This window comes from Homo sapiens, chromosome 22 (genome assembly GCF_000001405.40).
Source record: "Homo sapiens chromosome 22, GRCh38.p14 Primary Assembly".
Classification (NCBI taxonomy): domain Eukaryota; kingdom Metazoa; phylum Chordata; class Mammalia; order Primates; family Hominidae; genus Homo; species Homo sapiens.
This window is the reverse complement of record NC_000022.11, coordinates 19497939-19511491: the sequence shown is the minus strand read 5'-3', so window position 1 is coordinate 19511491 and position 13553 is coordinate 19497939. Positions and strand designations below refer to the sequence as shown.

The 13553-nt window shown below is 49.7% G+C and overlaps 1 protein-coding gene across 13 annotated transcripts in view, besides 3 other annotated features; it reads right to left on the bottom strand.

Moving 5' to 3' along the window:
* Positions 1-13553, bottom strand: part of CDC45 (cell division cycle 45) — a 41147-nt gene that overhangs the window by 9121 nt on the left and 18473 nt on the right. For all 13 annotated transcript variants that reach the window (NR_161281.1, XM_047441534.1, XM_047441531.1 and 10 more), the window contains 5 exons: positions 12341-12391; positions 6011-6130; positions 3975-4106; positions 3628-3726; positions 2801-2962 (listed from right to left, as the gene is read on the bottom strand). Coding sequence is in view for 12 of the 13 variants with exons in the window: in XM_047441534.1 (XP_047297490.1) it covers positions 2801-2962; positions 3628-3726; positions 3975-4106; positions 6011-6130; positions 12341-12391 (564 nt within the window). In the remaining variant the exon portion in view is untranslated. The remainder of the gene's footprint in view (positions 1-2800; positions 2963-3627; positions 3727-3974; positions 4107-6010; positions 6131-12340; positions 12392-13553) is intronic.
* Positions 4620-5120: an enhancer, noted in NCBI's record as "H3K4me1 hESC enhancer chr22:19493895-19494395 (GRCh37/hg19 assembly coordinates)". NCBI's record gives its function as "activates a minimal SCP1, AML or CMV promoter by ChIP-STARR-seq in primed H9 embryonic stem cells {active_cell/tissue: H9 hESC(primed)}" and the evidence as "EXISTENCE:reporter gene assay evidence [ECO:0000049][PMID:30033119]".
* Positions 5121-5621: an enhancer, noted in NCBI's record as "H3K4me1 hESC enhancer chr22:19493394-19493894 (GRCh37/hg19 assembly coordinates)". NCBI's record gives its function as "activates a minimal SCP1, AML or CMV promoter by ChIP-STARR-seq in primed H9 embryonic stem cells {active_cell/tissue: H9 hESC(primed)}" and the evidence as "EXISTENCE:reporter gene assay evidence [ECO:0000049][PMID:30033119]".
* Positions 12662-12878: a silencer, noted in NCBI's record as "fragment chr22:19486137-19486353 (GRCh37/hg19 assembly coordinates)". NCBI's record gives its function as "represses an EF-1alpha promoter that drives an FKBP-Casp9 reporter gene in an ReSE screen in phorbol 12-myristate 13-acetate-treated (for megakaryocytic differentiation) K562 erythroleukemia cells {active_cell/tissue: K562(+PMA)}" and the evidence as "EXISTENCE:reporter gene assay evidence [ECO:0000049][PMID:32094911]".

Below are 13553 nucleotides of genomic sequence, written 5' to 3'. Positions count from 1 at the left end.
AGGTGTGGTAGCTCATGCCTGTAATCCCACCTATTCAGGAGGCTGAGGTGGGAGGATGGCTTGAGCCAAGGAGTTTGAGGCTGCAGTGAGCCATGACTGCACCACTGCACTCCAGCTTGAGCAACAGAGTGACACCCTGTCTCAAAAAAAAAAAAAAAAAAAGACAAAGGACTTGAATAGACAATTCTCCTAACAAGATACACAAATGACCAATAAGCACATGAGAAGATGCTCAACACTATTAGTCATCAGTAAAATGCAAATCAAAACCATAACGAGATACCACTTCATACTCACTAGGATGAATGTAATCCAAAAGATGGACAATAACAAGTGTCGGTGAGGATGTGAAGAAATTGAAACCCTCCCTCCTGGTGGGAATGTAAAATGGTGCAGCTGCTGTGGAAAAGTCTGGCAGTTCCTCAAAAATCTGGCAGTTCCTTGAAACCTAGTGTTACCATGTCACCCAGCATTTCCACATGTAGGTATATAACCAAAAGAAACAAAGACATGACTACACAAAAACTTGTACATGCAAGTTCACAGCAGCATTAGTCATAATTGTCAATAGGTGGAAACAAACCACATGCCCATCAACTTATGAATGGATAAATGAAATAGAATATATCCATCCAATGGAATATTATTTATAATAAAAAGACACTGGCCGGGCATGGTGGCTGATGCCTGTAATCCCAGCACTTTGGGAGGCCGAGGCAGGTGGATCAAGAGGTCAGGAGTTCAAGACCAGCCTGAACAACACGGTGAAACCCCGTCTCTATTAAAACTACAAAAATTAGCCAGGCTTGGTGGCATGCGTTTGTAATCCCAGCTACTCGGTAGGCTGAGGCAGGAGAATTGCTTGAACCCAGGAGGCGAAGGTTGCAGTGAGCCGAGAGCGTGCCACTGGACTACAGCCTGAGCGAGAGTGAGACTCTGTCTCAGGTGGCGGACGAGGGAAAAGACATATAATCCCGATACATCCTACAATATAGATGAGCCTTGCAAATATGATGCTAAGTGAAGAACCCGGTCACAAAGAACCATATCTTATATGATCCCATTTGTATGAAATGCTCAGAACAGCCAATTCATAAAGACAAAAGGGAGACTGGTGGTTGCCAGAGGCTGGGAGGATCTCTCTGGGGCAACAAAAATGCTCTAAAATTAGATAGTGGTGATTGCTGCACAACCTTGCAAAACCTAACTGCAACCTACTAAAAGTCATTGCAGGCTGGGCACAGTGGCTCATGCCTGTTCCTCCCAGCACTTTGGGAGGCTGAGGTGAAAGGATTGCTTGAGCCTAGGAATTTGAGACCAGTCTGGGCCACATAGTGATACATCTTTACAAAAATTTTTAAAATTAGCAAGGCGTGGTGGCATGCACCTGTTGTCCCAGCTACTCAAGAGGCTGAGGTAGGAAGATTGCTTGAGACTGGGAGGTCAAGGCTGCTGTGAGCTATGATCATGCCATTGCATTCCACCCTGGGCAACAGAGCGAGACCCTGTCTCTAAAAAAATAACAATAAAATAAATAAAAGCCATCACATTGTACATTTTAAATGGGTGAATTGTATGGCATGCAAATTGTATCTCAATAAAGCAGTGGAAAAAAAAGTGTGCTTGGGAGCAGAACCAGGAAATCCCAGAAAGCAGGCCCCCATATATACATATGCATCTTTACCACTGCACAAAAGCAACAGAAGTGGCAGCTCTGTGAAGCCAGAAAAGCTGTCTGAATCATGCCTCCTCCTCCTAAAAAGTCAGGGAAATGAAATTTATACATAAAAAGCATGAGAGAAGTAGCAAAGTCAAATCCCCTCAAAGTCACTATTAGAAAAAAAGAGAATAAGGGACAGAATAACACCTCTCTGGATAATGAAAGTACACTAATGTGAAAGTTGCAGATCCCAGGATGAAATCACTTTTTGACAGGCCCAAACAAATTAAAGCTGGGAAAGCACCAAGGAGAGCTCCTGCTTGCATGTCTGGAATAAAGACTCAAAGACTTTCTAAATAACCCCACAAGAAATCCCTTCTTTAGGACTGCAACAATTCAGATAAGATGCTCTTAAAATATAACACTTGCCCAGTAATGCATCTTCACCACTGAACTGACGCCAACTCTGGCTCTGAGTCTCTGAAACCAATGAATTGTTTCCAAGCTAGCTTTCGTGAACTTCTCCTTTTGCCAATAAAAGTGTCCCCTTAGCCTCCTCTCTTTGGATGCATATTTGGCTTGCCATAGCTGTGCATCGCAGACACTATAATCCTCTTTTCTAATTCCCAAATAAATTCAGTGTATTTGGAGATATTTTTCTCTGATGTCTTTAGTCTGACACTAGACAGACATGCTAAAAAAAAGATCCAAATTGTCACATTCCATTTCAAAACAAGCGAAAAGACATGGAAAAATATAGGACATCTCAGGAAGTGAGATAAGAAAGAATTGGAAAATTAAAAAATTGAGAAATGACAACTATAAGATTAAACACAAGAACGAATATACATAACAAATAATGCCTTTTGTTAAGAGATACAAAAGGTAAAAAAAGAGAAAATTTTAAAAATCAAAAAGAAAAAAAAGCCAAAAAAGATTCAAGAGAAAGTGACAAATACTGAAGAGGGGCAGGTAATGTGTCAGGTGCACACCACACTGGCACTGTGATTCCAGTTCACCCAAGCAGTTTCTGCAGGACACAGTCACTCCCACAGCCCTGGGGTCCCCGTAACTGACCTCCCTGGGCAGTGTGAGAACCAGTGGTGGCCCCATGAGGCAAACCCACAGCCCTCCTGCTACCTGGAGAGGCTGTCCAGAGCCTGGATGAAGTGATCTGTCCCTGAGCCATCCTTCTCGGGGCTCTCCATCAAAGACATGGTGGCAAAGACCACGTCGCTGGCCAGAAACTTGTGCTTGAACCCAAAATGAATGCTGAAAGTCTGCACGCGCATGTCCTTCATCCTGTCATGGGAGCAAACACAGCTGTCACCCTCAAATTGTGGGCAAGCTCTCACTGCCAGGCAGGCCAACAGATGTGCTAATGTCCCTCACAGGCCCAAGTCAATGCTTCCAGCACAGCCATGCTGCTCAGAGGATGAGGCAGGTCAGAACGTCCAGACATACCAGCCCTGCAGCCCAGAGTGGCCGGGTGCCTTCTTGTCAACAGCTTTATGGCTGGCTTAGGGGGTGTGTGGGGTCCTCTCTCACACCTTAGCATGCCAGCTGGCTGGGGTGGGAGAAGCCAGGGGCCTCCAGGAGTGCCCATGGACTTGGTCGGGCAGAGTTCACCTGAACCTGGCCCTGTGGCCCATTTGCTGTCTCCAGTGAAACAGACTGGGGTCGACCTCACAGGTCCCACAGCAGCCCTAGGATCCAAGGATCCTAGGATCCTAAACCTCACAAGCTTGAAGAAGTCTTATTTTTAACCCAAAAAGAACTCAAGACTTCAGGAATGGCCAGACTCAGATAACACTCATTTGTACATTCTCGGGTTGTTGTTTTTTTTGCATTATTTTAGGAGCACGTTGGTTTTTTTTGCATTATTTTAGGAGCACAGTTAAAGTAGAACCCTTCACTTTAATGAACCTGGATGTAATGAAGATAAATCCAGAAAAATGTGTGTTTACCCAAATTTATTTGCAGACTCTTCAATCATTTCCCGCAAATTCTCCTTCAAGGAGATGTCCATGGCCTGGAACTTCTGCTTCACCTGCTTCAGGGGAAGACTGGAAAGAGCAAGCCCAAGCCACATGAGTGAGGTCACCACACACCGACAGGGTGGAAAGAAACCCAAACCAAGGGCAAGCGAGGATGTCCCCGCACCAGCATTCAGAAGATATTCTGGGATCTAGGGCAAGGAGCTTATGGCAGAACAGGCTGCATTTTATAACTAAGTTGGTCACAACAAAGCAGAGGGGCTTTTCCCTTGGGGGTGGCCAGGGCTGGCACTGCAGAGGCCCAGGCAGTCACTCACCCCATGTCTGCAAGGAACTCCTGGAGCCGCTTCTGTCCATGCACAGACCACAGCTTGAACCTGGCTGCGGTATAGCTGGTGTTGCACAGGCTGTCATGGAGGGACCAGTGCTGGTAGAGCACCAGGCGGAGGCTGGGCCTGCAGTCAAGGAGCATGCAAGCACCCACTGGCCGCCCTGAGCACTCTCGTAACTCCAGCAGGTGGGCCACTCTGATGGCGGGGCCCTTTCTCACCAGGCCTGCCTGCAAAACCAGGTATCCCAAGAGTGACCTGGAGCCCTTTGACCTTCTTAGCTTAAGCTGACCCATACAGAGAGCCTGTGAAGTGACAGGCATAGACCACCATCCGTCTGACAGGCAGAGAATCTGGAGCACAGGGGTCTGCAAAGTCCAGGTGCTGTGGTCACATGGAGCAGTCATGGCCACACATGACGTAGGAGGCTGGGCGTCACCAGCTTGTCGTCCTGCACCTCCTGCTCCACCTAGCCCAGCCCTCCCTACAACCCATTCCTCCGGAGAGCCCTCCACTGGGACCCCATCCACGAAGCGCCCCCATCCTCAGCCCTTTTTTCGTTTTTTTTTTTTGAGACGGAGTCTCGCTCTGTCGCCCAGGCTGGAGTGCAGTGGCACGATCTCGGCTCGCTGCAAGCTCCACCTTCTGGATTCACGCCATTCTCCTGCCTCAGCCTCCCGAATAGCTGGGACTATAGGCACCCGCCACCATGCCTGGCTGATTTTTTGTATTTTTCGTAGAAACGAGGTTTCACCGTGTTAGCCAGGATGGTCTCGATCTCCTGACCTCATGATCCACTTGCCTTGGCCTCCCAGAGTGCTGGGATTACAGGCGTGAGCCACAGCGCCCGACCTCCTCAGCCCTTTTCTTAAACATATCCATCACTGCCCCTGGCACCGTGAGCGCAGTTGTGAGTGTGGACTGTCCCCCACGGTGGATTTCCCCTCTACAGGACGAGAGCCTGGTCCTGCCTGCTTCCTCGGCATGCTCAGTTCCCACCACTGCCCCTCCCAACTCCTGGGAACTCCCAGGCCTTCAGACCACCATGCTCCCTGCCCACACTCCAGCAGCTTCCTCAAGCCCCAGCATCCTCAGCTCCCTGACTCCCTCCCTCCTGTCTCAGTCACACACTCCCATGGTCCCTGGGTAAGTGAGCCCACCCTGCCACGCACATGATGGGACCAGCTCCAGTGCACAGCGGCTCCCCTCCCCAGGAGTTCAGCCAGCTCCACCCCGCTCCCCAGGCTCCGATGGCCACCTGACTACTGACGTGTCCACCCTCACTCTTCCTCCTTCCCAGCCATCACAGTGCAGAGACAGGGCAGCTCCGTCCCTGACATCATGCTATCTGACTGCTTACAGCCACTGCTGCAGTTTGGGCCAAGCCACTATTGTGTGGCCTTGGAAAGCAGTGACCATCTCCTTGCCCCCAACCTACCTCTACTGGGCAGCCAAGGGACCTTTTAAAAACCCTGACTCAAACTCTGGTCACTCCACAGCCTCCCGCTGCCCTTGGCTCACAAGGCTTGCTCTGGCCTCCTGACACCTGACCCCAGCCAGTCCCCCAGCCCCTCCTGTGCTCAGTACAGCAGCTGCCACACTGAGTGTGGCTGAGACTGTGTGAGATGTGGTCTCCCCATGGTCTTTTCTGAGCACTCCACCAATGTCCCATGTGCTTCTCAAAAGACACGTCACGCTGTGTGATTACATGGCAGCTGCCTTCTTTCCTGACTGCGTGAACCACTGCCCGCACTGCTACCATGTCCAGAGCCAGGCCCACAATAAGCACTTTACAGGGATGTGCTGGAGAAGGGTGATACTTCCAAACTCAGCTCTGGCATTTAGAAGCCAAAGCCACACAGATGAGCTGGGGTAGCACACCACAGCCCCTTCCCCCAAAACTTCCTGCCCCACCTGCTTTCCCTCCTGGGGATGTGGCCAGAACCCACAGAGGGTGACAAAGCAAACAAGGCCTGCTGAGCAGGGGTGCTGCCTGTGCCCCTCAGGCTGGGCCACAAGGATACTCATACTCAAAGGAGATCCGTGTGCAGTCCACGGAGAGTGTGTTCTCCTCATCCTCGTTCCGGTGGTTGTGGCGGGAAACGTGGCGCTGCAGGACACCAACATCAGTCACGTATTTCATTCTGGAAAAAAAAGTAGCACAAGCCTCGGCTGGTTCCCTCCAGCTCTTACCAGGCAGCCTAAGCCTAGGCTCCATTCCCGCTCAAGGCCTTCCTCAGGGGCCTGCTCACCACAGGAGCTGTTCCCATGCAGGGACTAAGGACATGCAGCCTGCATAGAAACCAAGCACCCAGGAAAACATGATTGGATGGAGCGGGGGGGTGTGGTCTCTAGCCTTGTCCACCTCCGGTCCTCATGGGTCTCACACCTCCTGAGAATGGGCACCGCAGAGGCCACAGCCCATACAGCCAAGATGACAGACTCCGTAAGTGACAGGGATCCACAGCAGAGTGGGTGAAATGTTCCCTATAAACTTTACAAAATTAATGAGGGCAGGGGGAGGGGAGAAATGAAAATGAACCCAGCTCGCAGCACATCAGCATCAGTCACTAGGTCGGCGTGCTCTCTGACTGCTTCCTCGTAGCTGCTTGGTGTCTCATTGCCTCAGAAGCATGTAGACCCTGTCACAAGATTGTAGTTCCCCTAACTGCTCCGTAGATCACAACTTGAACCTTAGGAAATGCTGTTTTCCCTTTGAGATATTCCTTTGGGTCCTGTATACTGATGGAGCTACTGACTGAGCTGCTCCGAAGGACCCCACGAGGAGCTGACTAAACCAAGAGTGCAGTTTGTACACCCTGATGATTACATCCCCCTTGCCCCACCAATCAACTCTCCCAATTTTCCAGCCCCTCACCCTCCAGTCCCCTTAAAAGCCCCAGCCCAGGCCGGGCACAGTGGCTCATGCCTGTAATCCCAGCACTTTGGGAGGCCAAGGTGGGCAGATCACCTGAGGGCAGGAATTTGAGACCAGCCTGACCAACATGAAGAAACCCCGTCTCTATTACAAATACAAAATTAGCCGGGCGTGTTGCTGCATACTGGTAATCCCAGCTACTTGGGAGGGTGAGGCAGGAGAATCACTTGAATCTGGGAGGCGGAGGTTGCGATGAGCCGAGACAGCGCCATTGCACTGCAGCCTGGGCAACAAGAGCAAAACTCCATCTCAAAAACAAACAAACAAACAAAACCAAAAAAGCCCAGCCCAGAACTCCTCAAGGAGATGGATTTGAGGATCTCCTCCCATCTTCTCACTCGGTGCCCTGCAATCATGAAACTCTTCCTCTGCTGCAAACTCTGCTGTCTCAGTGTAACAAGTCTGTTACTGCACAGCAGGCATACAAACCTGCTGGTCCTATAACACATTATGGTGAGTCTAGCCTCGAGCCCCTTGTGGGCATTTGCTTGCCTGCGGCTTGGTGCGCCTTCGCTGTTCAGTGGGAAGGACCCAGAGACAAGCCCAAAGCCCAAGCGGCCACTGGGTTCCATTGAACTATATGGGCTGCCACCCGTGCCCTGCCTGTTGACAGGGCAATGTCAACCTTTGGTGCATAGACTGCTCGCAGCAAAGCAAGTTTCTGGTTTTGAAAGGCATCTTAGGTAAGTTTTCTCCGTGCAACCAGCACCCTTTTCTCCTCTGATTTGCTGGCCTCTTTGGAGGTCCTGTGGCCTCTTCAAAGGTTTTGTGGCTCCCTCTGAAGTCTCGAGGCCTCTTCTGAGGTCTTGTCGACCCTCCCTAATAATAGGAAGGGCCTCGTTTGAGGGGACTTCCTCTGCATTGGAAGGAGACCAAAGAGCACTGCTTGGGAGAAATCCTCTTGACTTCTGAAATTTGGAACTTGATTTCGGAAGGCCTTTTGTTTGTCTTTGTCTTGTTATGTAGGTTTATGTTTGTGAAAGGGATCCCTGAAGGAATTGCTAGCAGCAGCTCAGCAGGCCTAACTCAGGTTGACCATATACTTTTTCATCTTGCCCAGAGACCACCCGCTGAACTCCTGGTTGGAGGTAATTCCTCCCAACTTTGAGTAGATCAAAGGTGCTGGGGGCTGACAGGGGCAAGTATGAGCCTCGCCACGTCAAATCTGGGCGCAGAGTGGAATGATCAGTGTCTGCATTTTTGTTGTGTGTATATCGTCTCAGCTGGAATGAGAAATATTGATTTGGTTACTCCAAGCTGGGCACTGGGCTGCATCTTGTGAAACTGGGAAGACAAGAGACGTACATCTTCATCAGGATAGTGCAGTGGGTAACCTACCCACTAAAAGAAGAAATTCCTGTGGAAAAACTATGAGAAAGTTTCTGCCTGCTTTCTTTTTTTAAAACAGGGTCTCACTCTGTTGCCCAGGCTGGAGGACAGTGGTACAATCATAGCTCACTGAAGCTTTGACCTCCCGGGTTCAAGTAATCTTCCCACTTCAGCCTCCCAAGTAGCTGGGACCACAGGCATGCACCACCATGCCCAGCTGATTTTTTTTTTATTTTTATAGAGAGGGGTTCTATGTTACCTAGGTTGGATTCCTGCAATCCTCCCACCCCCGACAAAGTGCTGGGATTACAGGCATGAGCCATCACCCCTGTCTCTTTTCTGTCTGCTTTGAATCTGGTATTATTAAGCTACTGGTATTGAGAAAAGACTCACTGTCTATGGTATTATTCAGAGCTACTTGGAGATTTTGTTTTGCTTATACAGCTCAGCCAGTTGTAGCTAAAATGTAATCATTGAAAACTTGAAACTGGAGAAAAAAAGAAAGGGTAAGTTTTTAAAATCAAACTGCTATAGAAACTGCTTTATTCAAAATTTTAGTTCACAGCCTTCACTGAATTACCTACTGGGATAAACAAAGTTTATTTATGTGAATGGTTCCAATTTTGTCAGAAATAATTTGGATCCAGCCCTCTTTTATAAACTGGTGAGTTTGTACTGCTGTCTCATGGCTAGAGTTCTGCAGTAAAAGCTGTACCTTTGTATGTGTGTGTATGTGGGTTAAAATAAATTTAGATGTATGTACATGTTGTGTTATGTGTTGTGCCTACATGCTACCAAATTGGCTTATAAATAAATGAGTGCTCATAAACAAAGTAAATAAGTTCAAATATTTTTCAACTTCATGTGACTTAAATGATCTTTAGTAAATAAGCTGGCTTTAAAATTATTGGTAAAATAAAAATAGAAACGTCTTCAAAACTATCAGCGTACATCTTTTTTCTGAGTTTATTGACTGAACGATTTTATATTTGTCTCTACTGGATATTTAGGGTGTCAGGACTTTGCATAAAAGGTTTTAAGACTGTAAAACTAACCAAAACCAGAATGATCTTTGTATGACTTTTTGACAAATAAGATGAATATTGTTGGTTTAATGATAACAGCTGAATCTTCTGAGTTGTCAGCAAAAATACACATGCATTTAACTTTAAGGTTCTTAGGTGAACATCTGATGGTCACAGGCTATAAAAATGATTAAGAAGGCCAGGTGTGGCAACTCACATCTGTAATCCCAGCACTTTGGGAAGCTGAGGAGGGAGGATTGCTTGAGCCTAGGAGTTTGAGAGCAGCCTGGGCAACAAAGTAAGACCCCATCTCTACAAAAAAATCAAAAAAATTAGCCAGGCATGGCGACACATGCCTGTAGTCCCGGCTACATGGGAGGCTAAGGTGGTAGGATTGCTTGATCCCAGGAGGTCAAAGCTGCAGTGAGTTACGTTCATGCCAACACACTCCAGCCTGTGAGACAGAGCAAGACCCCATTTCAAAAAAAGAAAAAGGTTAACAATAAAATAATTTGAAATGATGACTAGTTTTGTCTCTCAGTTTTCATAAGTAATCTAGGCAAACTTAAAAATGCATGAAATGTAAATTGTATGAATGCTTCTAGGCAAACGTTCCATGCAGCTTAAAATCCTAAAATTATTTTAGATGCTTGTTGGGTGTCTGGGTCATTTCCAGTTAAGAAAGGGTTATAATATGTCACAAGATTCTGAGGAGGCCACAAGACCTCCAAGGAGGCCAGCAAATCAGAAGAGAAAGGGGTGCCAGTTGCATGGAGAAAACTTTTCTAATGCCTTTGAAAACCAGAAACTGTCTTTGCTGCGAGCAGTTTATGCACCGAAGGTTGACACTGCTCCGTCAACAGGCAGGGCACCAGCAACAGCCCATATTTCAATGGAGCCCAGTGGCCACTTGGGCTTGTCTCTAGGTCCTGCCCACCGAACAGTGAAGGGGCACCTAGCCGCAGGCAAATACCCATAAGGGGCTTCAGGTAGGCTCTCCATAATTTTTTGTTTGTTTTGGTTTGTTTTTTTTTGAGACGGAGTCTTGTTCTGTTGCCCAAACTGGAGTGCAGTGGCACGATCTCAGCTCACCGCAGCCTCCGCCTCCTGGGTTCAAGCGATTCCTCTGTCTCACCCTCCCGAGTAGCTGGGACTACAGTACAGGTGTGCCATCATGTTCAGCTAATTTTTCTATTCTTAGTAGAGACGGTGTTTCACCATATTGGCCAGGCTGGTCTCGAACTCCTGACCTCAGGTGATCCACTCACCTCTGCCTCCCAAAGTGCTGGGATTACAGGGGTGAGCCATCGCGCCCGGCCTCCAAAATGTGTTATAGGACCAGGCGGTCCATATGTCCACTGTGCAGTAACAGACCTGTTACACTGAGACAGCAGAGTTTGCAGCAGAGGAAGAGTTTCATGATTGCAGGGCACCAAGTAAGGAGATGGGAGGAGATCTTCAATCCATCTCCTTGAGGAGTTTTGGGCTGGGGCTTTTAGGGAGACTGTGGAGGGCTGGAAAATTGGGATAGTTGATTGGTGGGGCAAGGGGGATGTAATCATCAGGGTGTACAAACTGCACTCTTGGTTTAGTCAGCTCCTCGTGGGGTCCTTCGGAGCAGCTCAGTCAGTAGCTCCATCAGTATGTGGGACCCAAAGAAATATCTCAAAGGGAAAACGGCATTTCCTAAGGTTCAAGTTGTGATCTATGGAGCAGTTAGGGGAACTACAATCTTGTGACAGGGTCTACATGTTTCGGAGGCAATGAGACACCAAGCAGCTACGAGGAAGCAGGCAGAGAGCACGCCGACCTAGTGACTGATGCTGATGTGCTGCGAGCTGGGTTCATTTTCATTTCTCCCCTCCCCCTGCCCTCATTAATTTTGTAAAGTTTATAGGGACAGTTTCAGGTACAGATCCTGTACAGGAAGTGCCACTGAGCACAATGAGAGCAGGAAGACCCCACTCTAGGTTCCAAAGGGCCACCAACCAGGACAGTGACCGTGGGGGCCTCACCTGAGAGACTGCTACAGACCAGGAACAGTGCCTATCAGTGCATACACCATGGTGTTTCTAGCCCCTACATTATCTGTGCACAAATTCCATGCTACTCTTAACACACGAAGGGACTCAGGGCCCAACAGGGCAGTGGGCTGTGCCAAGGTGACCTGTCCAGGCCGTAGCTCCAGGCCTGAAACTTGGGCTTCTCCTGCCTTGTGGGCCTTATTGCAGGATCCAGACAGGGGCAGGGCTGGGGAGGCAGGAAATAGTGGCATGGGGCCTATTCAAACTGCATGAGGAGACCAGCACCCAATTGGAGGCTGCGCCTAGGGCTGTGCCAGGTGACAGCCTGGGGACATCTACATGGGTCCCCTAGGAGAGGACCAGCATGTTGGGGTCTAGGTCCATGCCAATCCCTAAGAGATTCTGCCTGATGGCCACTAGAGAAGGTTGGGCCACTTCGTGCATTAGCAGGGATGAAAGAAGAAGCCAACCCCCACTTCGCCCTGCAGCATCTGCATTCTGAGGCAGCCTTGCAGCTCACCGTCAGTCTATCAGATGGGGAGCCCACCACTGAGGGCAAAAGGGGTTCTGCTTCACACCAGACCCCTTACCTTTGGAGCCTTCCCCTTACCTTTGGGGTCAAACCCCTACTGCTTGGCAAGATACTCAGGGTCCTCACTAGGGGCTCTCATCCCGCCCCCAACCTGCTCCTGTGTTGTCTTCCCCCATCCCCCCACCTACTGCAAGGGCCACACCTCAGCACCTGCCTCTAAGCCTGGCCCTGCTGGTAGCACCCAGCACAAGCAGGGCACTGGGAGAGAACTGGGGAGGCTGGCTCTACCTGCCAGATGAAGACGCCACACAAGGCCACGGTCACTCGGCTGGTACTCAGTTAGCCCTTCCTCAGTGACAAATGCTTGGGCCCAAGGAGGAGGGCCAGTCCTCACTTCTCAATAGGACCCTACAGGGACCCTGCTAAAAACTTAGTGGCTATGGTCAGGCTGTGCACCTGGCCACAGCACAGGGCTGACCCTGCAAGGCAAGGGAGTGTGTCCTTACTGAGTGATCTTGTCTTGCACCCACTGGTCTGTTAGTCCAACGATGGCCCACCTGGAAGAAGAGAAGGCAGTGGAGCCGGCCTATAGCCCACCTGGGCTCAATGAGGCCTGGGGGATGGAGTGAGATGATGGAACGGGCCCAAGCTCAGCACTCTGGGGAATGTCCTGCCAGTGGGGCCAGACCCTGGCTTGCCTCAGTCAGGTGGCCTCTCTCCTTGAGGTGAAGAGGTTAGAAGGGTAATTGGGGCCTTGCAGTGCAGTGTCTGCCACTGTGGGAGCTTTAGGTACTCAGAGGAGGAAAACCTCCCAGGAGAGCCATGGCAGCTATAATAGGAGCCAGCACTCCCACCCACTCCTAGGCCATGCTCTGCTCTTGTCCTGCACTCCTGACCCCAACACTCGGAGTGGAGTTGATACAGTATCATGGCAGAGGCCTGTGCTGAGCTGTTGGTGACCCTGGTATCACTTCATCTCTCTGAGCCCCTCATGGCACATGCCCCCAGCACAGGGGGCCCTAGTTGTGTTCACATCTACTCATCCTGCAGCTTAAAGTAGCAGGATGTAGAGTAGCAGTGTTTAGGCCTCTGGTGAGCCTTCAAGGCTCCCATCTTCAGGCTCATCTTTTACCTGAGACCCAGGCAAGGCCTGGCTTCCCCAGCATGACGGCCAGCCCACAGCAAGAGTGACTGGGCCCCACTGTGCTCGGTCATGCCAGGTGCAGCCCGCACAGCGGACTCAGAGGAGGGATGGTTCTTCCTACATCAAATTTTGCCACCGTGTGCCAGGACTGCAAGGATGCCTAGCAAGAGCTGCCTCCTTTTCTGCAGACAGCATCTCACTCAGTCACCCAGGCTGGAGTACGATGGCACAATTGTAGCTCATTGCAGCCCTGAACTTCTGGGCTCAGGAAATCTTCCTACCTCAGCCTCCTGAGTAGCTTGGACTACAGGTACACACTATGACACCTGGCTAATTTTTGAGACAGAGTTTCATTCTTGTCGCCCAGGCTGGAGTGTAATGGCGCAGTCTCGGCTCACTACAACCTCTGCCTTCCGGATTCAAGCGATTCTCCTACCTCAGCCTCCTGAGTAGCTAAGATTACAGGCACCCACCACCACGCCTGGCTAATTTTTTTTTTTCTATTTTTGGTAGAGACAGGGTTTTACCATGTTGGCCAGGCTGGTCTCGAATTCCTGACCTTCCAAAGTGCTGGG